Genomic DNA, 26,901 nt, shown 5'->3' with positions numbered 1-26,901 from the left:
AATGTTACTTTATGGTTTTATCTCTGGTGTCTAAAGAAAACACTGAGGTTGGTGATTAGGGGAATGACAGAGTTTGGTAAGCCTACTCCACATATTTCCAACTTAAACTGATTCATGACTTTAACTACATTTTAAATTGCAACATAGCTGCTTTCTGGCAGTAATCTTTATATTCTAACCTTTGAATTCTGGGAATTTTAACTACTCTCTCTCTCTCTTTTTTTTGTTGTTGTTGTGAGACAGATAGCTCACTCTGTTGCCCAGGCTGGAATGCAGTGGTGCAATCTTGTCTTACTGCAACCTCCACTTCCTGGGTTCAAATGATTCTCATGCCTCAGCCTTCTGAGTAGCTGGGACTAGAAGTGCATGTCACCACGCCCAGCTAATTTTTGTATTTTTAGTAGAGGTGGGGTTTCGCCATGTTGGCTAGGCTGGTCTCAAACTCCTGGCCTCAAGCGATTAGCCTGCCTCAGCCTCCCAAAGTGCTGGGATTAAAGGGTGAGCCACTGCACCTGGCCAATAACTACTCTCTTTTTGATGGAGAGGATGGAGTTAACAGAAAGAGTGATATGAAGGTTGAGGTTTTAAATTTTACCATCTTGGTGGTTTTTAGTATATCTTAACATATGTTTAATTAAGTGAATATTCTACCTATTGTGTTAAAAACATAGTTTATTTATTTGAAGCTCCTCAAGGTTTAACAATTGGTGGACATTTTGATATGTTTTCCCTCATTTTGGATATTTCTTTTAGATATACTCTATATATAAATATTAATTAATATTAAGAAAGATGAAAAGTGAATAAAAGAGGGCTTCTGACTTGATAAGACTTTTAAGCTGATAGAAGATACACACACACACACACACACACACACACACACACACACACACACCCTACAGTGTAGCTCAACTGTGCTCTTAGCTCATGAATAACAGACATACAAACAGCAAAAGTTATGCAAAAGTCAGGGTTGGACTGGAGGGGCATGGGAATATGTCATGTGAAGGCTATTGATTTCGTGCAGTAGTATTCAGCCTGAGAATGTGGTCTGCACAGTTTTAAAATTCAGCAGTATGGATGATGGTAGTTATGACCTTCTTAGATTATCAAGCAGAATAGGCTGAATGTAAAATATATTATAATTTAATTACATGATTTGTGGTGAAGTGGTCAGACTGTTTATTTTAAAGAGTCATTAAATTAAGGAATTGGTTCATTTTGCATAAACTAGAGGTTTTACCTTAGACAGGTTTTAAGCTGAGAACACAAAATAGTGGGAAAGTGTGCTGTTTTAAGTATAGTGTCAGTATTCTGCTGTTACTGAGCTTTCAGGATTTCCATAGTACCTAGAGAAGTAGAGAGCTCAGAACATTTCTGCTACAAAAGAATATTGAATTCTGTAAATATCTATTTTGGTCAGAATAATATTTAATATAGCATTTTATACAGTCACAAAATGTTTTTCCCATATAAAATGTCATATAGCACTACCTAGCATGCATGTTTTTGACTTTCTGCTGAAGGACTTTAAAAAAATACATATCTGATTTTATGGTAGAAGTCAGTATGAAAAGCATATACACTTGATAGAAGGGTGTTAGGATATATCTATTGTAAGAAACAGAGGGAGTGTTTGTAGTTGATAGACCCTCTGAAAAGCCTAATAGCGTTAGGCCCAGTGAGTTCAGTTACTCTGCAGAGTACTGTGTGGATAATAGAGCACTAAGTATAGTAATGTCAATAGATGAGGAGCTCAGCTTGCAGACAGACTCTGTAGGGCAGAAAACTGGCCTTCAGTATCTTTATGGTAGCCTTGACACATTTTCTTTCTGTAGTTTTCCTTTCCTCTTTATTTACTTAAATTGTATCAAGTGTTACAGTTCTTCAAATAATTAGAATATGAAATGCTTTTGGTATTTTTAAAAGGTCTATCAGTTCCAGCTGTTCCTGGAGCTCTTGGTCCTCTCACAATCACCTCTTCTGCTGTCACTGGAAGGATGGCCATTCCTGGGGCTAGTGGTATACCAGGAAATTCTGTTCTACTCGTCACAAATCTCAATCCTGATGTGAGTTGAAAAGTATTATATGTAAATAGTCTTTCAGGAGAAGGTATAGTAGCACTTTTTTCTTTCTTTCTTTTCTTTTCTTCTCTTCTCTTCTCTTCTCTTCTCTTCTCTTCTCTTCTCTTCTCTTCTCTCTTCTCTTCTCTTCTCTTCTCTTCTCTTCTCTTCTCTTCTCTTCTCTTCTCTTCTTTTCTTTTCAGAAAGGATTTTACTCTGTTACTCAGGCTTCAGTGTGGTGCTGCATTCACTCACTGTGACCTCTGCTTCCTGGGCTCAAGTGATCCTCCCACCTCAGGCTCTCAGGTAGCTAGGATTACAGGTGCCCACTACCACGCCTGGCTAATTTTTTTTTTTAATTCTTTTGTAAAAACAGGATCTTGCTATGTTGCCCAGGCTGGTCTCAAGCTCCTGGGCTCAAGCGACACACACCTCAGCCTCCCAAAGTGCTGGGATTACAGGTGTGAGCCACCATGCCTAGCCATGGTAGCTTCTGATCCAGGGTTGTATTCAAATTAAAATGCTTAAGTTTGTTTTAAGAACTTCTATTAAAATTCATCACTAGTATATACGGAAGAAGCATATAAAACCATGCTTTAAAATAAAATCAACTGCCATTACAGTATAAATAAACTTATTTTCAATTTTTACTTAAATTGTCAGACACTTAACTTTGTGTTACCCTTTACAGCTTATCACACCACATGGGCTTTTTATCCTATTTGGTAAGTTCATTTTTGCTATTTTATTATTGTCTACAGGTGTGAATTGAGCACATTTCACTTTTTTAGTAATATGTATTGATTACTTCTGTGTGCCAAGTATTGTGCTGACACTGAGGATAAAACAGTGAATAAGACTTAGTAAGTAATTACAGTGATGATTTATAGTATGGGAAATATAGGTTTTGTAAAGGGAGTGTAACGCAGGGAGACCTAACCTAGCAGAGGGACTCAATAGAAATGATAGTTAAGCTGACTTGTTCAACATGAGTAAGAATCAGCCAGGCAGAAAGGGAGGGCAATGTCTTCACAGGGGAGGGGAGAGGGGAGAGATGGGTCCTGGTGCATGGAAGTGAAGGAAGCCCAGTGGTGAGCATAGGCAAGCATAATGGAGACCTGGTGAAGGTGGACAGCTGCGTAGGGTCAAAATCGTGAAGAGCTGTTAAAAGCTTTGTTAAGGAATTTGGTTTTTACCTAAGAACAATCGGAAGCCATTGAATAATTTTAAGGCAAGAGAGTGGTATAATGCGATTCAGGTTTTAAAAATAGTCTCCAAACTTTCGAACAGCATAGAAATATGAGAACAATGAAATAAGCAATATTTACTATTTTAAAGATTTTTATTAAGGACAGTTTATTTTTCCATAAAACATGATTAACATCTAATGAGCAGTATGATTAATATGCTTTGATATTACTAAAAATCCTTGTTTTCATTTTGATTCAGTAATCCAAGGGTAGATTATTTCACTACTTGATTTTAATGGTTGTCATAGCTGAAGAAGATAAATCATAAATATATATAATCTAAATGCAGGGGTTTCATTGTTGCTGTACTTCAATAATTATTTCATTATTTTTTTCATGTAATCCACCAATTTTTGTCATGTTTTATCTAGAAAAGTTAGATTTTTTCCCCGTAAATCAGTGGATCTTGAAAACTGTTGTGTTTGAATATGTCTGACAAATAGAGTTAAAACTCACTGATATGCTTCATTTGTAAGATTTTTAAAATAAGATAGAAAACTGCTTCCAAATTTTTTGAATGTGATAGTTTTAGAGACAGGGTCTCACTGTTTCCCAGGCTGGAGTGCAGTGGTGTGATCATAGCTCACTGTAGTCTCAAACTCTTGGGCTCAAGCAGTCGTCCTCCCTCAGCCTTCCAAGTAGCTGGGATTATAAGTGCAAGCCACAACACCAGGCTGATAGGTTTTTTTTAATGGAATTTTTTCAGATGTAATTTACAACCATACAGTTTACCTGCTTTGGGTTTACAACTCAAGATTTTTGTAAATTCACAGTTGTGTGGCCATCACCACAGTCCAATTTTAGAAAATTTTCAACGCCCGAGAGAAATTCCTCATGCTCATATGCAGTCACTATAAAAGTTTTTATTAATGATTGATGCATGTAATTTTCAGTAATAAAATCAAGTATTAATAATACATTTTAATATGACTCTTTTCTAGCCAAAGCATGTTTCATACCAAAAGTAGTTAATTTCTCACTCATTTAAAAAATGGCTGGGTGCAGCAGCTCATGCCTGTAATCCCAACACTTTGGGAGGCCAAGGCAGGAGGATCAGATTGTTTGAGACCAACCTGGGCCAGATAGTGAGACCCCATCTCTACAAAAAATAAACACCCACATTTTGCAAAACAAATGGTATATGTTTAGTTTTTAAAGAATAGTTACATCACCATCGTGTTATTTCTGAGAAAGGTAGCAAATTCGGAATACTTGTCTCCATTTTAAATTTTTAAAGTGCCATTAGTATGATAATGATGTAACTATTGAAAGATTTTTTTTTTTTTTTTTGAGACAGGGTCTTATTCTGTTGCCCAGGCTGGAGTGCGGTGGCACAATCTTGGCTCACTGCAACCTCTACCTCCCAGGTTCAAGCAATTTTCCCACCTCAGCCTCCCGAGTAGCTGGGACTACAGGTGTGCGCCACCAGGCCTGACTAATTTTTGTATTTTTTGGTAGAGACGGGGTTTCCCCATGTTGGCCAGGCTGGTCTCGAATTCCTGACCTCAAGTGATCCACCCACCTCGGCCTCCCAAAGTGCTGGGATTATAGGTGTGAGCCACTGTGCCCTGCTGAAAGATCTTATTTTTATAATATTGATGATACTCTGTAGCACATAAACTGAAATATATTGTAATACACTGGATGAAAAAATCGAGTGAGACTGGAATTGACTTCGTAGAACCTGTTGGCTTTAATTTTATCTATATATTAAAAATTCAAAAACTGTAGTTTTTTAATATTGGTTTATATAAATAGATTAGTATAGATAAGAGTTTGATTATTATCTTTCCATACCCCAGTGAATCACTTTACCCATCCTTTAGGATATGGGACCCACTTTGGGGAACACTAGGGTAGAAAAATCGAGGGTAATAAGATGAGTTAGGATCAATTAGGTTGTCCTGATTGTCCGAGTGTGAAATGGTGTTGATAGCTTTGATGGTAGCGAGGATTGGGAGAGGTGGACAAATATGAGAGATATTTAGACCATAGAATCAATGGGTGCTGGTGATTGATTGGGTGGGTGTCAGGGTTTGAGGAAAGGAAGAAGTCAAAAGATGACTCCCAGGTTTCTGGCTGGAGCAACTGTGTGAATGATGGTATTTATCTACAGCTTTAGTGAGCACTGGGAGTGGGGAGAGGAAAGGGGGGATGAATCATTTTGGGACATAATAAGTTTAGAGTGTTGATGGGACATCCAAGTGAAAAAGAGTAAGTACATGAATAGATCTGGAACTTTGGAAGAGATAAAAATTTGCAGGTGTATGTATGGAATTGCCAAGGGAGAGTAAGAAATGCCTTCTTTAAGTATATTAGTAAAATTAATTAAACACAACACAATCAGACGTTAAACACAGTGTTTTGTTTTGTTTTAATTAGGAGTCTATGGTGATGTACATCGAGTGAAGATTATGTTTAATAAGAAAGAAAATGCCTTGGTTCAGATGGCGGATGCAAATCAAGCTCAGCTAGGTACTAATGATTAATAATTATTAATAATAATGTGAACTTGCCCCTTTTGTGTGTGAATTTTCCTTCAAAATACAGCTAGTAGGAATATGATTTTACAAAAGAACACCTCCTTGTGATAATGCCTTCATTATTATTTGCATCTGTCTATATGTTAAGGTTAAAAAATATTCATCACTCTTCTAAGTCTGAAGTTCATTTGTCTACGTGAACATATTGTTAATTTCTAGAGCTTTGACCCTAGGGTTTTTCCGTTAAGTTTAATAAGCATGATTTGTTTTATTTCATTTTTTTAATTTATTTTCCTTCCAAATTAAGTTTTCTGTAACCACTGAGTGGCTTAAAAGTTTGGGCAAACTTTGTAATGATGATACAAGAAAGGGTTCATGGCTTCACTGTTATAAAAGCTGTAAAGTATTACTCAAAATTTCTTATAAAAATGCCTTGCTTGAGATAAAACTAATATATTCAGTAACCATTTCATGAATACTTACTATGTTCCAGGCACTCTGAAACTTCATAGCACTCTGCTCAGAAAATATTTTTTGTTTGTTTTAAATTGCTTTTCTTATAGTGAAATGAAGTCATTTAATATATTTCCTTGAGGGTTTTTGGATTTTGAAACCCTTTTCACCCTCAAACTGATAATACAGTTTTAAATAACTACATAAAAATAATTTATGGTAATGTTGTCAGATACTACTGAGAAATCTATCCTAATACTCAAACTTTAAAATTTTCTTCCCATGCACTAGCAATGAACCATCTAAGTGGTCAGAGACTTTATGGGAAAGTGCTTCGTGCTACACTGTCCAAACATCAAGCAGTACAGCTTCCTCGAGAGGGACAAGAAGACCAAGGTCTGACTAAGGATTTCAGCAATAGTCCTTTGCATCGCTTTAAAAAGCCGGGCTCTAAAAACTTCCAGAATATCTTTCCACCATCAGCCACTCTGCATCTTTCCAACATTCCGTATGTACCTAATAAGTTATTAATCACTTAGATGATGAATAATCTACAATATGTGATGTAGGAGAGGTTAAAACTTCTGAAATTGTTCTAACCTAGCAGTTGTCCTGGTCAACAGTTTCTGATAAGACAATTTATTTGCCATCATGCCTTCAGAAGGTTATCTCCAATCCTACACTCTAAAATAGAAAGATACCTGTTTTAAAATTTTCTTTCCAAATAGAGAATTCACAACTAGTTATTTTTCAGTGATCAAAGGTCATAAAAAAAATTCTAGGCAGAAGTATTCCATTGGCACGTATTTGTCCATCTGTTTGTAGAAGTAATGACTCTTACGTTAACCAATATGACAAAATCAAATTGTGTATCTAAGAATTTGGTAAAAATGGATTTCATACTTTTTATCTACAAGCTGTAAAGCCATAGATATGGTAATTACTTAAAAGCTAAACGTTATTTTCCTGTAGCCACTGTACAGGTCTCTTTATTAACCAGTGTTGTATGTGTGCTTTAGTTATCTTCAAACTCAGGGATTGACAACCTGTAGCCTATGGCTGTTTTTGTATGGCCTATGAGCTAAGAATGATTTTTACATTTTAAAATGGAAGCAAAATATTTTGTGATGTGAGAAAATTATATAAAATTCAAAATTCGCCTTTTATAAAGTTTCGTGTAATATAGCTGTACCCATTCACTTACGTGTTACTTATGGCTGCTCTTGAGTTACAACAGCAAAGCTGATTAGTTGCAGCAGAGACAATATGGCCCATACAGCCTAAGATATTTACTGTCTGGCCCTTTAAAGAAAATATCTGGCTATCTCTGTCCTAATTGTTGAAGTCCTTAGTCTACAAAAATGGCAGTTTTGTTCATGGACTTTGGAAATTGTTAAAACAAAAAAATGGCAGTTTTGTATAATTTGAACTAATACATAAAAGGGACTATAAGCTTTGGAAAAGAGATAAAAGCTGTGGGGGATGTGTGTGTATGTGTGTAAAAATTTAAAAACTTGAGGGTATAGAGAGGGGTGAAGTCTGGAACATTATTGAGAATGAGAATGGGAAGTGAATAGTAATAGAGAATAATTACTCAGAAGAATGCTGAATATCCGGCCTCCCTGCTGGTCTCCAGTTAGGCTGCATGGAGAAACCTTGAATCCAAGTGGGGCAGTGGATCAAACCTCATACCAGCCGGGAAACTGGTAGAGTCAAGGAAAAAAAAAAAAAGTAGATTAAAAGTAGATGACATGGACCGAGAAATTTAGCAGCTCATTACTGTGGAGTGTAGGGTAAATGGACAACAATTAGATACTGAGGCAGGCACCTGTCATCATTAGCTTTTAATTTTTTTAAATTAATATATTTTTTTTTGAGACAGGGTCTCCCTCTGTTGCCCAGGCTGTAGTGCAGTGGTGTGATCTCAGCTCACTGCATCCTCTGCCTCCCAATCTCAAGTGATCTTCCCACCTCAGCTTTCCAAGTAGCTGGGACTACAGGTGTCGGCATGCCCAGCTAATTTTTTGTATTTTTTTGTAGAGACAGGGTTTTACCATTTGCCCAGGCAGATCTCTAACTTCTGAGCTCAAGCAATCTGCCTCCCAAAGTGTTGGGATTAGAGACGTGAACGACTGTGCCCAGCTCTGTTGTTAGCTTTTTAAATATACCACATCACGCAGGAGCTGGGCTCCAGTTGCAACCTACATAGGACATGTAGGAAGAAGAAGAAAGGATATTAATATTCTTCCAAGTTCTGGGTACTGTACTGGTGCTTTACACATGTTGCCTCATTTAATCTCCACAACAACCTTTTTTAAAAAAACTGTGATAAAATACACATAATTTAAAAATTACAGTTTTAACTATTTTTAAGTGTACAGTCCAGTATACATTCACATTAATTGCTTTACACATTATTGTGCGACCGTCACCTCTGTCCATCTGTAGAACGTTTTCATCATCCCAAACTGAAACTCTGTACCCATTAAGCAGTAACCACCTTTTTCCTCCTAACTCCCAGCTCCTGGTATCCACTATTCTATGTTGTTGTTGGCATTATTATCCATAATAACCTTTGAAGTAAGGTATTTTCATTGTATTAATGAAACTGAGACTTAGGTTAAAAAATTTACTCAAAGTGATATACAAGTGAGTGAGGAATAGAAAGTGAACCCAGGTCTGTCTTCCTACAGAGCTAATGATTGTTCTGCTATACTGTCCTTGTTGGCAGTTGTGAGATGAATCTACTTTTAGTCAGTTGACTGTCACGTGATAGACCACTATATTAGTTATGTATGGCTGTATAACAGACCACCCCAGACTTCACAGCTTAACACAGTAGTAAATGTTTATTATCTCATATTGTTACTGTGAGTCAGGAATCTAGAAGTGGCTTAGCTGGGTGGCTTTGGCTGAGTCTGTCATAAGGTTGTAATCACGATGCAAGGCAAGGATGTGGTCATCTGAAGGTTTTAACTGGAGATAGAGGATCCATTTCCAAAATGGCTTAGTCATGTGCCTGTTTGTTGACCGAAGGCCCCAGTTCCTTGTCATGAGGACTTCTCCATAGTGTCTTCACGGTGTCCTTCCAAAGCTAATGATTCAGGAGAGGACATAGTAGAAACCACAATGTCTCTCAGCTTCAAAAGTCACACATTGTCATTTCTACAGTATCCAAAGTGTTTACAGAGGATACCTGTGCTTTCTATGGGAGGGGAATAAACAAGGGCATGAATATGAGCAGGCAAGAGTAATTGGGGGCCACCTTAGAGGCTGACAGCCACATACACACATTCAGAATTACCCTGCAAACAGTTGAAAATATGGAACTCCAGACTGTAGCAGACAAGTCAGAGCTAGGAAACTTTGGAAGTACTACAGTTGATTACTAAAGCCAGTGGTATGACTAATAAGAATAAATATAGATTCCAGGCACAGCTGCATTAAAAGAAAAAAGAATATAGAAAGATTTTTCTTGCCCTTTATATACCTGCACATGTCTTCTGCAAGGATTGAGACAAAATTCCATTGCTTGACGATACATGTCAGTTTTTGAACATCTTTCAGGGAACTTCCAAATCAAGTCTTTGTCATATGGCTTAATAATTCTGTTTGAAATGTACTCTAGAGATTTGATGATTGCAAGAGTTAATCTGCTTCACTTGAGAATGCGGCCCAGGTAGTTGACTCCCTCTGATGTTTTCACAGCCCTTCTGTTACAGTGGATGATCTGAAGAACCTTTTCATAGAAGCTGGATGTTCAGTGAAGGCTTTTAAATTCTTTCAGTAAGTCTTTGCTTTCAAGAAATACATTAAAATTATTTAATATGGTATGCAAATTTTAAAGGTAGTTCAGTGAAGTCTTCTGGTGGAGGAAGGAGTTTGGAAGCAAAATTCATTCTAAATACTTTCTGTATTTCTTATACCATTTTCAGGAAAGATCGCAAAATGGCGCTCATTCAATTGGGATCTGTGGAAGAAGCAATTCAGGCCCTCATTGAGCTTCATAACCATGACCTTGGAGAAAATCACCACCTCAGAGTTTCCTTCTCAAAATCTACAATCTGACTTTTCTGTGAATTTTTCTCCTAAAACTGGACCATAATTTCAGTAAAACCTTCAGACATAGACTGAAGCAGCTCAAGACCAATTTTGCCTCTTTCACAAAAATAACTCTGAGTTTGATATTCAAGTATATTTTAAAAATCAAGGGATTTTTTTTTTTTGTATTCCCCCTGCCCCCGCCAGTCAAAGGTTTCTTTTCCCTTTTTACCATGGTTTCTACAAAAATAACCTTCAGGAAAAAGAAAATCAGGAAAAAAATTTTTTTTCAATAATCTTATTCCCTATATTAAATTAGATTTGAAGAGGATTAACGTTGTTTTAGTTTGGGTCCAGATCAGCCTTATACAACATTTCTAAACTCATTTGTACTTTTAAAAAATTTAAACACAGACTTCTAAAATTACTTGATGTAAGTAATTTAAATCACTTATGACCAAGTTATTAACCTTATGAATCAGAAGTCTGACCCTTGTAGGAAATTATATTCACATATAAAGTACATCAGATCTTTGCCATATATTGATGGTTATTATGCATAAACACATTGAGTTGTGTTGGAAGCAGATTTATAAACCTGCATGTTTTCTTTGAATGATTTCTTTTTTTCACTGTAAGACACTCCTTTAAATAATGCCTATCTTTAACTTTTTAAGACTATTTGGAAAAATGCAGTGTCTCAGCTGTCCCCAGGGAAATTAAGTGGAATTCAACTAAGATCTGTTAATAAGATGTCAGAATAACTAATAATTTTATTAGGAAAAAATCATGTTTTAAATTTCAAAATGACACTTATTTGTCAAGTAATATGATCTTGGAAAATTTTAAAGAAAAATAATCCTACTTATAAACTACTTTTTTATAATTGTTTTCAGAAAAAAAGTTTACAGTCTTAAGGAAAATATTCAGGTCTATCATATGGTTTGACAGATTTTTTAAAAGTTATTTTTGGTAAGGTCTTCTTTTAGAAAAAAATTAATCTCAAGGGTTTTTTGTACCACTATAATCTCTAATACTTACTCAGAATTACTGTGTATTTACTTAATTTCTTATTATGTGCCTTATTATGTGCTTAAGATACAATAGGTTAGAGTTTAATCTAAATATCTTGAAAGCTATATTGTGGGCTTGGTAAGCATTTTGTTTTTTCTTTCTCTGTTTTGGTAAGGATTTAAAATTTTTTTCATTGCAATTTTAAGTGGTTTTCAATAAGTAATAGTTTTTATCAAATTTTTGGTGCTTGGTGCAGAGACGGTGTGGGGAAGGGTGAATGGTTTTGGGAATAATTCAGTGCACACCTGTAGGCCTCTTTACATTGTGACTGATAGGGGTTATTGCATATCAATTTGGGGCTGTAGAGTGCAATCTCAGTTTCATCTTTTTCACCCATCAGAATTTGTCTCAGGATTACTTGGTTTTTCTCAGTCCTCAAGCGAGAACTTGCTTTTCTTTGTTAATGTGACTTTCATTACTGAGTACCCACGTATTTGGAGTATGAGAAGGTGGGTTATTTCTCATACTCTGTCCCTCTCTTTTTCATTGAATGTAAGAGTACATTTTAATGTTGCTTCAGTGATTGTATAATGTAAAATTGTTTCTTTTTAATAAGAAACTTTGCTATTATTTCTTCAATTGTTGATCAGAATTTTTTAAAGCAGAATTTGTCAAAAGGGTCATTTTTTTGTCTACCCCTTTTACACTTTTCAGATTCTCAAAGTGTCTCATCTCAACTTTTAAAAGAATAAAGAATATCTTGCTGGGCATGGTGGTGTGCGCCTGTGCGCCTGTAGTCCCAGCTACAGGCTGAGCCTGTAGGCAGGAGGCTACAGGCAGGAGGATCACTTGAGCCCAGGAGTTCAAGGCTGCAGTGCGCTATGATCACATTTGTGAATAGCCACTTCACTCCAGCCCTGGAACATAGTGTGACCCCTTCTCTTAAAAGTAAAAATTAAGAAAATCTCAATCTCTTTGCTGTATTCCAGTGATTAATTTGAACATAGGGAGGTTTTTACAGAAGAAATTTTACCAAAAAATAGAGACTGCAAGAGATGATACAGATTGTTTAAAAAGCAGAATTCACTCACCACTGAGCAACACTTAGTTGGTAGAATAGAAAGGAGGGATACTAAGTTAAGACTTTTCAAATGGATCAGTTTGGCTGAATAGATAGATATACTCATGTATGTAGTTGTGGGAGTTTTTAGTTTTTTGTTTTTTTACTTATGAAATAAGTTTTGACCTAGACACAAGGGGTATATGAAGGAGGAAAAAAATTTCTTTGCAAAATCTCCCAAAACTTGCTTTTTTTTCCCTTCCACACAGGCACTATTATAATTTTCAGTGCCATGTTAAATTGGATTATTTCATTTACTTTAAGTTAGGAATTACTGTGTAATTTATTAATTCATGATTCTCATAACATTCAGCATAAGTGTAGCAAAGTTGCTAATAACGGAAGGGGATCATAGTGGTGTTGAATGTAACTTTGAAGTAGGGAATGGCCTTTTAAGTCTGAGAGAGAACATTTGAATCCTTTTCAGGGATTTGTGTAGGGGTGTGTTTGTGTGTGTGTGTGAATGTGTGTGTGTGTAGATAAGTGTATATACATAAATACACTCTTCTAAAGTTGTATATACATATGCACATTACATACATTTTAATTTATTGACAAAATTAACCAAATTAAGATTTGGAGATGTGGGATGTTCTTGTTTTAAAATAGCATGTTTGAAACCATCAGTTTGTGTCTAAAATTAGCTGTAGCACATGGATGTTGTCCATATTAAGCTATTTGCTGTTTGAATTATAGAGGTCTACAGTATTTGTGTTGGCATAGTTTTTGTAAAAAAAAGATTAAAAAATATCAGGATGGTGGAAAAACTAGATCTGTGTATCTCTGTTTTGGCATGCATTTATTCAGTATCTTCTAGCAATGGTTTTTCTCTGTTGATCTACCGTAGTATCCTATTTTTAAGTTTATTTTATTTTTAAGGAGTATTGTCATCACTTTTCAAGGTGTCTTGACTTCTACACAAAGTATATATATTCAGGACTTTAAAAAATAGCAGTACACATTTAACAGTAGCGAATTACACCAAAATGATTTACTTTGAGATTTGAATAATTTGCATAGCAGTAAAATGTGTTTTGTGTAACATACAAATAGAAAAATGACCCAGTATCTTAATTGATACTTACTGGAGAGTATCAGAATTACCCAGCAGCTCTTACAGAATGCCATAAATTCTTTAAGACTAAATATTGAAATCAATTATTTGAAGTAATGTTTCTGATTTACTGTTAAAAGTTGCTGAGCTCAGTTTTTGGAGATATCATTTATGCCTGCCTGTTCCCTTATGACAGTGAGGCCTTCTTTGGCTCCACCTAGTATGATAATCATGGGTTCTGTTTTAGTTGATGAGAAGTGGCTCCTATGAATGCCTCTGCTCAATTTCTTTTTATTTTACTTTATTTTATTTTTAGGGGTCTCGCCAACTCCTGGGCTCAAGTGATTCTCCTGCTTCCACCTCCCCACAGTGCTGGGATTACAGGCATGAGCCACCACGCCTGGCTCTCTGTTCTTTTCAGTGTCTCCGTGCCATCAGTCAGCAGTGCTTACATGTTTAGCATATTGTCATGCAGTTTCTCTTCTGTTCCCACGAGATATTTTTGGACAAAAAATTGACAAAAGTACATGTGTTTTTCCCCACCTATCCCTTAGAAAACCTAATGTGTACTGCTATTTTTAAAACCAAAAAGAGACAGCGTGACGATGCGTAAAGCATTTTTCTTAGCCTTTCCTTTGTCTTGATCTGTTAATGAGAACAAAACTGCCAGACTCAAAATACTCTACTATTGTGCTGAAAGAAATACAATTTAGATTGCACAAAATTTGAAAATATAACTCAGCTGTCTTTTAAAAGAGTTGTGTTGTTATCTACAAGACTATTAGCAGTCTTTTTTCAGAGCAAATTTTAACAGCTAGTTGTGAGTGGTTTAAAATATAGAAAATTATTAAAATCTTAGTTTGAGGGGTTTTATAGTGGGAGAAAAAACAGGACCAAAGTTTATGTGCCTTCTTCAGTAGTCTTAATTGACCTTTTCTTCCTATTTGAGACTAAAGTAGTATCAGTATTCTGGTTTTCAGGAAATATGTACTATATAGTTTTAAAAGAATGTTGTCCCACCAACTATTCATCCAAGCAAAGAATTGTAACTATAAATAAAGTCTCAGTTACACTTTTGCCTTTATCACATAATATTCATTGTAGAGCATTGTGCAGGTCCAAGAATAGAGCTGCTCAAAATCTTTGTGGTAGTTTCCTTAGTTTTTGTAACCTGAGGCATATGTTCCAGAGAACAGGGATATTTGTCTGGTCCAGTGACCTTGGTGATCATAGTCATAATTGAAAGATGCCTATGGCATGCTTAAATCAGCATTGTCAACTGATTTGTTGTTGTATTATTTTCACTTCTTGGATCTATGTAGTAGTTGTAATAACAAATATTTAAATAGCTATTTTTTTGATGCCATTAAAAAAATCATACTCTGGCCTTTTTTCCCCCTTACTGTTGTTTCCCAGATCTTTTAAAAATTCATCCCATATCCAGAAAGTACCAGTTATAAAGATTGCTGACCAAGCAAAGTTTTGCATCAAAGTGTCACCTCATTGCTCTGACCAAAGACTGACTGTTGTGGTTTTAACTCCTCTCTGTAAAGCATTTTGCATTTTCCCCAAGCTCCTTTCTGAAAGAAGAACCAGTGCAGAGCGGCCTTTACTTTCAATTTCTACTGCTGAATAGACTACTTAGAGAAAATGTGAGTTTCAGTGTGAACAGAATGGATTAGGATGACGAGTTTGATGGGCATTTTCAGTACTGTATCTAAGAAAAAAAAAATAGCACAGCTAGGAGCCTCTGACATTGTCTGGTGTTTTACGTGGTCTGTTCATCAAAATTCCCCTTTTCAGTTTTTAAGAATGTTCGTCTAACAGAAGAAAATGCTGTAAATATTTGTAACAACATTTTTTTTAACAAGGCCAAAAAAGAAAAAAAGGTTTTTGGGAACAAATGAACTTATAAAGTGGTTTTATATAAAACATCAATTGTCTTGTATATTTTGGATAAGCAGCAGTACCAGCTTTCATTTGTAACAGTCTGTGGCATTGGAAAAAAAGGAGTCTGTGATTGTTGAAGTGAATTATGTTATAAATGCAAAGAGAAGATAAAATATTAAAAAACATATTTTCTAAATGCGTAGTGCATGGTTAATTCAAGCTTCTGTACACTACAGTATATTCCATTTTCGTTCAGTTTGTATATTTGCTGACTATTACTTGATATCTCTAATCTCTTTTCCTAACAAATATAGCATTGTAGCATGCCTTTTAATAAATGTCATGACATCTGTACTCTCTTAAAATTTTTCTGTGTTCTTGTCTGTACTTTGGGTTTCCCTTTGTCTTACCTGTAATTCTAATGATGTCCTATTTTCTTTTCTTTTCCATAGCCATCCATCTAAACGTGTCATGGTTAGTGAATAGTGAGCACATATTCAAACAATGTTCAAAATGGGAAAAACACAAAATCTATTAACTGTCTCTGTCTTCATTTAGGAATAATTCTCGTTTTGAGGAGCAAAGTGCTTTCCTAATCTTCCTATGATGCACCTTCTCTGGCACTGCCCCGTAATGCAGGGGCATGGCGGCATGCTTTCTTGCTTGCACACTCACTCTCCTTTTTCTTTCTCTCTTTCTCCCCATATGTGCAGTGCCAAACTACAGTTGGAACACTATTTCCAGTTTTGTTCAGTATTTGGCTTCCCTACGGCATTAGTATACATACACTTTGAGACACAAGGTGTGATCTCAAACCAAATTTGTGTCCTCTTTAAAAAGGTAGCACAGATACTAGCTGATGCTACATTCCTTTTCCTTAGACAAACGTTTTACTTCTCAGATCTTTAAAGAATTGTTGGATTGCAGAAGTCTAGACTTAGCGTTCATTGTATATTTTAGTCTCCTGGAAGTGGGAATTTATTTTGAATGGAATAGAAAATTAGGTAATCACTACTAATCTTTGCTGGCTTACCTGTAAAATCTGTGGTCTCCATAAATACTGGGAAAATAAATAGGTATTTTTACATGAGGCATTTTTATCAGGAAAAGATAAAATAACTGTATGACTATATTAGGCTTTTATAAACTCGATTGACTGTGAAATGCTTATTTACTCAGCAGAGGGGTTATAACCATCATTAAGTCATGTCAGTGACCCAAGAGACCACCTAGTTCAATTTCCAGTTAACAGCAAGGAAGCCCAGGTCTCTGTGACTTGGTCCAGTGCACTCTATTGCACCCAGGTGTTGCAGTTTCAGACTTCCAAGTGCTGCTAAGGTTATGATCTTGAAGATCTGTACACAGTATTGGAGTGCTTATGTTTTCTCCTAAAAGCCACATGATCATACCTCACTGCAACGTAAAGACATTGAGTAAGTGGTGAGAATGTTTCTGATGAAGGGTAAAAATGCCTTATCTACTTCTGAAAAATTTTTTAATGTCGTTTCACATTTTAAATTTCAGAAAACTAACAAAAAATGTAGTTACTGTTTGTATGAGTTTGCTAGGACTGCCATAAAAAAGTCCCACAGACTAGGTGGCTTAGACACCAGAAATGAGTTTCTCACAGTTCATGGAGGCTCGCAGGCCACGATCAAGGTGTCAGCAGTGTTGATTTCTTCCAATGCCTTTCCTTGGTTTGTAGATAGCTGTCTTTTCCTTGCGCCTTCTACAAGCTCGCTCTTCTGAGTGTGTCCATGTCCTAATCTCTTCTTATAAGGACATCAGTCAAAGATGAGGGCTTACTCATATTATCTCATTTTACCCTAATTCCTTAAAGAGTCTGTCTCTGAATGTGGTTACATTCTGCGATTCTGGGGATTAGGACTTCAACGTAGGAATTTGGGAAGGGGGACACAAAATTCAGCCCCATAGCACTGTTTTATTCATTCAGTTCACCGAGTACTGATTGTACCAGCACTTGAGCTAGGTGTTGGGAAAAATATAGAGTTAAGCACGTGGTGACTTACCTTTTAGAAATGTGTAATGTAGTAGATATGTCAGCCTAAATCCACAAATTAAACACGTTACTTTTGAACTCCTGCCTTCAATAGGAATCCCCAAAAATGGATCATGAGGCCTCTCTGAGGCACTTCTCAGAATACATATGGCTATAACTATCCTACAGCTAGTTGTGAATATGTAGGAATATAGACCCTGCCATAATTTGTCCTTTTTACTCTTAGAGATAAATAGCCATATCAGAGCAATGATTATTTCTAAGACAAATGCCATTACTTAAAAAAACAATTGTAGAAATAAGAGGACATCGTCAGACAAGCTGTGCCCAGTATTTAATGTCTAACATTTGTGATAAATGAACTGGGATGCTGGGTTAGGTATAGTTAGGAGTGATAGACCTATTTGTAGTCTTACTGTTTCTACATCAAAGCTTTTTTTCCTGTTGTCTATTTCAACCTATAATGGGAATTCATCACTTTCCTTTGTGTGTTTTTTATCAAAACAGTTTATGCTGAAGTGATAAAACTCTAGTAATAATTTTGCTGGAATTACCACATTCTGGAGCCACTGGGTTCTGATGTAGAGTTTCCAACTCTACTAGTATAAAGAAACCAGAAAAGTAATGATTCTAATGTTCCTAGCAGATTCATAATGTCTATTTTTTTATTTTTCTTTCTGTTTTTGTTTTGTTTTGAGACAGAGTCTCACTGTGTTGCCCAGGCTGAAGCAGCCTCAAACTCCTGGGCTCAAGCCTTCCTTCTGCCTCAGGCTCCCAAGTAAGTGGGACTACAGGTATGTGCCTGGCTAAGTTTTTTACTTTTTACTTTTGTAGAAACTGGGTCTCACTTTGTTCCTTAGGCTAGTCTTGAAGTCTTGGGCTCGAGCGATCCTCCCTTCTCAGATTACAGTAGGAAGCACTGGGATTACAGGGGTGAGCCACTGTGCCCAGCCTTCTCAATTTTTTTACCCCTATATTTGTTCTAAGGATATAGACAGGGTAACAGGAAAAACTCAATATTTCTTTTGGAATAAATTGCCCTCTAATCACTTGATAAGCATCTCTATCATTATTCTGTGCCTAAAATTAGAGAATTATCTGCTCAGTCCTTATTCCTGCAGAATACAAATGTCACATTCTAACCTGTTAAGAGATTGTCTTCAAAATAAAACTGTTATTAACTACATTAATGTTAGACAAAGTACACTTTAGGGCAAAAGGCATTATTAGGGATAGATTTCATAATGATAGAGTTCTATAGTAGAATATAGTAATGCAACTGAACAAAATGAAGCTCATTCCACTGCATGGAAGAATCTCACAGATGTGATGCTGAACAAAGGAAGCCACGTACAAACACTATATAATTTTATGTACATCAAGTTCAGAAACAGGATAGTTACCTTTGGGAAGGAGGTAACTGAAAGAGTATGAGGAGGGGTTTCTGGTATCTGGTTAATGTACTTTGTACCAGTTACCCAGGAGTGTTTCAAAAATTATTATAATTGAGCAAGGAGCTAGCAACCAATTCTTTTCTTAAGTCAGCAGATTATTCTAGCCAATAAGTAAGGCCCTCTTATAAAGAACCCAAGATACCATGGACTGAGTTTCAACATGAAACTCTTACATGTGCATATATTGCATTGTCCTGACCACGGCATATCTACAGGAAAAATATTTCACTGACCAAAAAAAAACAAACAAAAAAACATGTTTTCAAGTAAATTTTACCCTTCCGAACAGTTTTACATCCAACTAGATTCAGAAAGATTTAATTAATGTGTTTTAGTTTTGGTTTTGCCACTGTAACTGATCTGGTGAGCTGTTTGACATCTAACCCCTAATATATTTCCCTTTTATTTTTTGAGACAGGGTCTCACTGTGTTGGCAAGGCTGAGTGCAGTGGGGCCATCAATAGCTCACTGCAGCCAACCTCCCAGACTCAAAGCAGTCATCCCATCTCAGCCTCCCAAGTAGCTGGGACTATAGGCACCCACCACCACACCCAGCTAATTTTTTATTTTTTGTAGAGACGAGTTCTCACTATGTTGCTCAGGCTAGTCTTGAACTCCCGGACACAAGTGATCCTCCCCCCTCAGCCTCTTGAAATGCTGAGATAACAGGAGTATGCCACTGCATCTGGCCTCCTAATATATTTTATCAAAAGAAGCCAGAAAGACCTACCTAGATCTCTAGCATCCTAAGAGAAGACTTTATAAAAGTTAAGATTTTTTTTTTTTGAGACGGAGTCTTGCTCCATTGCCCAGGCTGGAGTGCAGTGGCACAATCTTGGCTTACTACAACCTCTGCCTCCCTGGTTCAAGCAATTCTCCTGCCTCACCCTCCCAAGTAGCTTGGATTACAGGCATGAGCCACCACGCCCAGCTAATTTTTGTATTTTTTAGTAGAAACAGGGTTTCACCATGTTGGCCAGGGTGGTCTTGAACTCCTGACCTCAAGTGATCCACCTGCCTTGGCCTCCCAAAGTGCTAGGATTACAGGCATGAGCCACCACCTGGCCAAAAATTAAGATTTGTAATACACAAGTATTACTATGATGAACTCCCATTTACCCAGTACCCAACTGCAACTAGTGGCCAATTTTGTTTAATCTGTTCTTTACCCCACTCCTAGGATTACTTTTAGTTTTTCATTTTTATTTTTTGAGACAGAGTCTCTCGTTGCCCAGGCTGGAGTGCAGTGGTGTGGTCTTGGCTCACTGCAGCCTCCACCTCCTGGGTTCAAGCAATTCTGCCGCAGCGTCCTGAGTAGCTGGCATGCACCACCACACCTGGCTATCCTAGGATTTCTTTTAAATCCCAGTCATCATATAATTTCATCTGTAAACATTTCAGTATAGAAGTCCATACATTGCAGTTGATAAAGGCTTTTACAGGTTCCCTCTCCATCCTTTTTTTTTTGTAATTTATTTGTTGAAGAAACAGCTCTTTGAATTTTGCCAATTACATGTAAATCGAGAAGAGCTCATTCAGATTCTGTTTTCTCTCTTCTTTCTCCCTGCCTCCCCTTCCCCCCTACCTTTTTTTTTTTTCGTAAGAATACTTCATTGATAGCGTTGGATACTTCCATAATGTGGCTTTTCTTTTGATGGCAGTATCCATTGATCATTGCCTAGATCCATTAATTTTTAGGGACTGCAAGATGGTAAAGCTATAATTCTAATTCCTTTTGCTTGTATTAGTTGGATTTCTTCTATATAAGAGAAACCCCCATATCAGCTATTTCATTACTTTGAGGTACAGCTTCTGTAGAAAGGCAAAATAAATGCTTGGGTTTTTTTTGTTTCCTATTCTCCTCCAAAAGTTTGCCTTTTTCTAAAGCCTGTTTTTATGGAAACACAAACATTTGTAAAATTGAAAGACTGATATAATGAAACTTTGTTTCTGTCACCTAACTTACGTGATTCATATTCTGCGTTGTATCTTCTATACTCCTGCCCCTCTCCCTTTCTACTGGGTAGATTATTAACTATTAATTTATATAGTAGTTTTCAAACATATTGGTTAAAGTTTATAATGTTTTTAAATCTCTGCCTTATCAGTAATTATATCTTCTTGTTTTTGGAGGGATGAGGTCTTGCTGTGTTTCCCAGGCTGGTCTCAAACTCCTGGCCTCCCAAAGTGCTGAGTATGCAGAAGTGAGTCACTGCACTCGGCCTATACCCATTTTTATTTTTGTTTATATTTACTATTTATTTACTTATTATTTGAGACAGAGTCTTGCTCTTTCATCCAGGCTGGAGTGCAGTGGCACAATCTCAGCTCACTGCAATGTCCGTCTCCCAGGCTCAAGCAATTCTTGTGCCTCAGTCTCCCAAGTAGTTGGGATTACAGGCGTGTACCACCACGCCTGGCTAATTTTTGTGTTTTTATGTTTTTAGTAGAGACGGGTTTCACCTTGTTGGCTAGGCTGGTCTCGAACTCCTGGCCTCAAGTGATCCGCCTGCCGCAGCCTTGTAAAGTGCTGGGATTACAAACGTGAGCCACCGCGCCCAGCCTGTATATCCATATTACTGTTTTTCAGTTGTGCCTTTTCTCCTTTTCTTGAGCCATCTTGCAGAAGTATTTTCAAATAACCTGTTTTTCATGTGTTTTGATCCTCCGCAATGTTTGTTTTTTCATTTATTAGTGTTTCATTTCATTTTTAACTTTATTTTATGCTTCTTTTATACTTCTTATTTTGTGTGACTTGATATGTTAATCATAGCTGTCTTAGATTGCCTTATATATCCTATGAATTTTCAATGCACATTTATCCTTTATGACAGAAACAATATATATGAACTTGAGAATGAAATATAACTAGGTAGGAACAAAAACTTATTTAGGTAGGAATTACTTTGAAAAAAACACAAATGTCTGCATGCCATACTACCCTGACTGCACCCGATCTCATCTGGAAAAAATGCCAAGGTTTAGGATTGTCCTGATCGCTCCCTCACCCCCATGCCTCTTATTGCTGTGCTTTAGTGTGGGCTGATTTGACAGATATATGCATTGCCAGAGGATCCAAAGTTGTAAAAGTCTAGCCATGCCATCAAGGAACATTATAATAAAGATGGAAAGCACTGGTATGTCCTTTCTTGCAACATGGACTAGCTTGCAAACTAAATCTAAATAATTTACCTGATTTTTTGAGCATCTAATGTTTTTAACCATCTCTCAATATGGTCCAAGAATAGTAGCTACCAGCCCCAGATTTTCTAGAACAGGCAGACTATCCTTGTATTTTCAGAACACTTCCAGTTTTTTTATTCAAAAAATAGTTCTTGGCTGGGCACGGTGGCTCATGCCTGCAATTCCAGCACTTTGGGAGGCCAAGGCCGGCAGATCACCTGAGGTCTGGAGTTCAAAACCATCCTGGCTAATATGGTGAAACCCTGTCTCTACTAAAAATACAAAATAGACAGGTGTGGTGGCTCACGCCTGTAGTCCCAGCTACTCGGAAGGCTGAGGCAGGAGAATCGCTTGAACCTGGGAGGCAGAGGTTGCATTGAGCCAAGATCGCACCACTGTACTCCAGCCTGGGTGACAGAGCGGGACTCTGTCATTTAAAAAAAAAAAAAAAAAGTTCCCAGGGCTGCAGAATTAACTGTTAGTTTGTGTGCTTGGTCTATGATGTTAGCTCACTGTTAGAATGAATTTATTCTAAATTCTTTTAAATAAGGGCATAAAGATTGAAGAGATTACAGGGTTCTAGTGACAACCCCTATTTAGTAAGAAGCAGGATCTTCTTTATAAGAAATAAAATACCCATGCAGAGACCAGCATACAGTAGATTATCTGTTGAATATCTGCCATTTCCTTTCAGCTGGTAGGAGCTTCTGACGGAACCAGCCCCAGATTCTTTCCCCTGGCAGTCCCCATGACAAAGCCACTGAGCTAGATCATCATTGATAGAACCCTAGTGCTTGTAGTGACTTGGTGGCAGCCATTGCGTTAATACAGACCAACACCTTCTCTAAGCCAAGCTGCCATCTGATGAATGAAATACCCAGAGAGCTGAACATATACAGAAGGAAAATGGAGCCTTGCCTCAACCTACAAAAACATCTGCTGTCTATATAGGGCTTCGGGAATTCAGTGACAAACTCCAACAGCACAACTGTATTTGAGCGTATGGATTCATAGATCCATACCCTCACCAAAGTTTATTGTCTCTGACCTGTACATTTGTGTGATAACCATAACTTCTTCCATCATGTTCCCCAGAAGCATAGATTGCCCATATATGGGCAGTCCCAAGGAGGCCAAAATAGTTCCGTGTACATTGTATTAGTTTACTAGGGCTACTGTAACAAATTACATACAACAACCTGGGTGGCTTAAATAATAGATACTCATTTTCTCACAATTCTGGAGGGTAGAAGTCTGAGATCAAAGTGTCAGTCAGCAGGTTTGGTTTCTTCTGAGGCCTCTCCCATTGATTTGTAGATGGCCACCTTCTCCCTATGTTCTCACGTGGTTGGTTATCTTTTGGTTTGTGTGAGTCTGTGTCCCAATGTCCTCTTAAAGGATACCAGTTATATTGGAGTAGGGCCTGCCCATATGGCCTCATTGTACTTTACCTCTTTAAAAGCTCTATTCCCAAATACAGTCAGATTTTGAGGTACTGTGGACTAGGGCTTTGGATTTGTCAGGGTTCTCCAGAGAGACAGAACAGGTAGGATAGATAAATAAGTAGGTAGGTAGGTAGATATAATTGGTTCATGTGATTGTAGGCTGATAAGTCTTAAAACAGGCCGTCTGCAGGCTAGGGAGGCCAGTAGGGGGTGGCTCATTCAAGTCTGAAGGCCCCAAAACCCAGGGAAGCCACTGGTCTAACTCTCAGTCCAAGGCCAAAGACCTGAGAACCCAGGGGGCTGCCGGTGCAAGTCCCAGAGTCCAAAGGCCAGAGAATCTGGAGTTCTGATGCCAAAGGACAGGAGATAAAATGGTGTTCTAGCTCTAGGAGAGAGGAAATTTGCCTTTCTTCTTGCCCTTTTGTTCTATCCAGGCCCCCAGACAGGCTGCTGCAGCCAAGAACATCCCCTCACAGAGGGCTTTCGTCCTGGGAATAGCAGAACCACAGCTTTTCTCATCCTGCTCGTAGCCACCTGTTGCTGAGGCTCTCTTATTCCACCCAGACCCCACTCATGGACTGGAGGCTTCCTTAGGCATGACATGCTAAGATAATGGGGCCTTGGTCCTGGCTTGCGAGGTGGTGGTTCCATGGCAAGAGAGGCAAGCCGAGAGGACCCCAGCTGCTCTGCACTGACAGAGGCTCTCTCCTTACCCAAACTTTAGTCAGGCTTAGAAACTTTTTTTTTTTTTTTTTTTGAGACAGAGTCTCACTCTGTCGCCCAGGCTGGAGTACAGTGGCGTGATCTCGGCTCACCGCCACCTCCATCTCCCAGGTTCACCCCATTCTCCTGCCTCAGCTACTTGGGAAAGTAGCTGGGACTACAGGCGCCTGCCACCACACCTGGCTAATTTTTGTATTTTTAGTAGAGACAGGGTTTCACCGTGTTAGCCAGGATGGTCTCGATTTCCTGACCTTGTGATCCACCCGCCTCGGCCTCCCGAAGTGCTGGGATTACAGGTGTGAGCCACTGCACCTGGCCAGGCTTAGAAACTTTTTTAGACTAGGCCTCATTCTTGGACCTTGTCCTCAAGAGCCCAGTTTTAGCAAGAATCCTGGCAGTTTAAAAAGAATCCCCTTGACCCTTTATATCTGATCAACCTGACCTGACTTAAGCAAGAATCCTGTTTGGTAAATGTAGCAAGAATTTCCCTTACCCTTCATTTCTGTCTCCTCTTAGTAATTTTCCATCTACTGACAACCCTTCTCCAACTTACTCCTTGCCTATAAATCCCTACTTGTTCCTCGTGAGTTTGTAATTGAGACTGATCTCTTCTATCTCAATAATTTTTTTTTTTTTTTTTTTTTTTTGAGAACGGAGTCTTGCTCTGTCACCCAGGCTGGAGTGCAATGGTGCGATCTTGGTTTACTGCAACCTCTGCCTCCTAGGTTCAAGTGATTCTCCTGCCTCAGCCTCCCAAGTAGCTGGGATTACAGATGCCTGCCACCATCCCTGGCTAATTTTGTATTTTTAGTAGAGACAGGGTTTTACTACGTTGGCCAGGCCAGGCTGGTGTAGAACTCCTGACCTCAAGTGATCCACCCACCTCAGCCTCCCAAAATGCTGAGATTACAGGCGTGAGCCACTGCGCCCAGCCTCAATTATCTTGACACCTATCGGGATCATTCTGAAGAAAGTCTTCTTTCTCATCTTAACAAGTGTCAGAATAATTTTTTCTTTAACACCTCCCTCACAATCAAGGGCTTAGCCCCTAGAGTGGGGATGTCACTCAGAGAGAAGCTTACCATCGTTCCCTTTCCCAGCTCCAGTGCCCTGGCTCAGAGATTGTACCTGCGGGGAGAAACCCACCATAAAACAGATAGCTTTTCATCTCTTTCAGAAGGAATTTAGCTTATTGCAGCAGAGTGAATAATTTCAAGTCTAAAAGCACTCTCAAGGTCAGTGAGGTGTGATAAAAGGCAACTGGGAGAATATTCAAGATACAGGTTAAACTGTAGAAGGCTGGTTTGCAGGAGAGAACTGGGAATAAGATAGCTGGAAGAATCCTCCTGGGGTCAGAATAAAAATCAAACACTGACCTAAAAAATTGTTCAGTTGAAGAAGCCAGAATTCAACTGTATAAATTTTAGAGCAGTTTGTGCTCCCAGGGTACTGTTGAAAACACTAGAGCAATCATCTGATAATAGTATGGTTTTAGCAGGTAGGTGGGGTCAGTGAAAAGAGGAGGAGAGACCCACCAAACCCACTGATTCCGGAGTGACTGTGGGCATACCCAGTGCTGTACCTCCTGAAGGAACAACATTAGTGGCTAAACACAGTTTGGAGAAAAGGGACTTCACTAAAATAATCCAGTCGTTTACTACATAAATAAGCACATTATAATAAGCTCCAGAGAAGGGGGGACCAGCAACCAGAGTTACTACAATATATGATTTTCAATATCTAGTTTTAAACCAAAAATTACAAAGCACAAGGAAACAGGAAAGTACAACCCAAACAGCAGAAAAAAAGCAGACAACAGAAATTGACAGTAAGAGGAACCAGATGTTGCATTTATCAGAAAAGACTTTAAAGTAGCCATTATGAACCTGTTCAGAGAACTAAAAGGAGCCATGATTAAAGAAGTAATTGAAGGTAGGATGACAATGTCACATCAAGTAAGACAATATCAACAAAAAAATTGAGATTATTAAAGGAGCCAAATGGAAATTATGGAGTTGAAAAGCACAATAACCAAAAAATTCACCAAAGGGCTCAACAATAGGTTTGAACTGACAGAGGAAAGAATAACAGACTAATAGAGATTAGACACACTGAAAAACAGAGAAAAAAGAATGAAGAGAACCTTAGAAATGTGAGGCACAGCATAGGACAAATGTCGAAAGTCAAAGACAATGAGGAAATCTTTAAGCAGCAAGAAAAAAATAACTCATTACTTACAAGGGAACCCTAGTAGAATTAGTGGCTCACTTAGCAGAAACAATGGAGGCCAAAAGGTAGTGGGATGACATTCAAAGTCTCAGAGAAAGAAACTGTCAACCAAGAATTGTATTGCCAGCAAAGCTGTGATTCAGAATGAAGATAAAATAAAGATTTCCCCAGAAAAATAAAACTGAGAGAATTTAATGTTGGCAGCCCTTCTTTAGAAGAAATACTAAAGTTCAGGCTAAAAGCAAGTAACCTCACAGCCTTCTTGCACTTTGGAACACTAAACAGCACTGCAGCACTGCTCTTGGGGGCTCTTGTAAACTGTGAAATCACCAAGAAAAATACAAAAAACCTGGCACTAAGTAGACCACAAGAAGGACGCTTGTTTACAGTATGAGAGCTGATACAAGAGGTTTGTGTGTCACCTTGTTCAGCCTCAGCTGGGAACACATATGTTGAGCAATTCAAATATTTTTGCCACT

The 26,901-nt window shown here is 37.9% G+C and overlaps 1 protein-coding gene across 18 annotated transcripts in view, besides 1 other annotated feature; it reads left to right on the top strand.

Annotated features, from left to right (window-relative positions):
• PTBP3 (polypyrimidine tract binding protein 3) overlaps nt 1–16,453 on the top strand; it is a 162,168-nt gene extending 145,715 nt beyond the window's left edge. For 14 of the 18 annotated variants that reach the window (XM_047424272.1, XM_047424274.1, XM_047424273.1 and 11 more), the window contains 6 exons: nt 1,930–2,069; nt 2,755–2,788; nt 5,696–5,788; nt 6,541–6,757; nt 9,958–10,035; nt 10,185–16,453. In XM_047424272.1, the coding sequence (XP_047280228.1) occupies nt 1,930–2,069; nt 2,755–2,788; nt 5,696–5,788; nt 6,541–6,757; nt 9,958–10,035; nt 10,185–10,317 (695 nt within the window). In that variant the 3' untranslated portion in view covers nt 10,318–16,453. The remainder of the gene's footprint in view (nt 1–1,929; nt 2,070–2,754; nt 2,789–5,695; nt 5,789–6,540; nt 6,758–9,957; nt 10,036–10,184) is intronic. The other 4 variants (NM_001375920.1, NM_001375918.1, NM_001163788.4 and 1 more) reach the window with 2 other exon arrangements.
• Nucleotides 14,965–15,014: an enhancer, noted in NCBI's record as "active region_28821". NCBI's record gives its function as "activates an Ori minimal core promoter by ATAC-STARR-seq in GM12878 lymphoblastoid cells {active_cell/tissue: GM12878}" and the evidence as "EXISTENCE:reporter gene assay evidence [ECO:0000049][PMID:35858748]".
• Nucleotides 16,454–26,901: the final 10,448 nt, after the last annotated feature.

Source organism: Homo sapiens, chromosome 9 (assembly GCF_000001405.40).
Source record: "Homo sapiens chromosome 9, GRCh38.p14 Primary Assembly".
Taxonomy (NCBI): domain Eukaryota; kingdom Metazoa; phylum Chordata; class Mammalia; order Primates; family Hominidae; genus Homo; species Homo sapiens.
The sequence above is the reverse complement of the archived record's forward strand: the minus strand, read 5'-3'. Positions and strand labels throughout refer to the sequence as shown.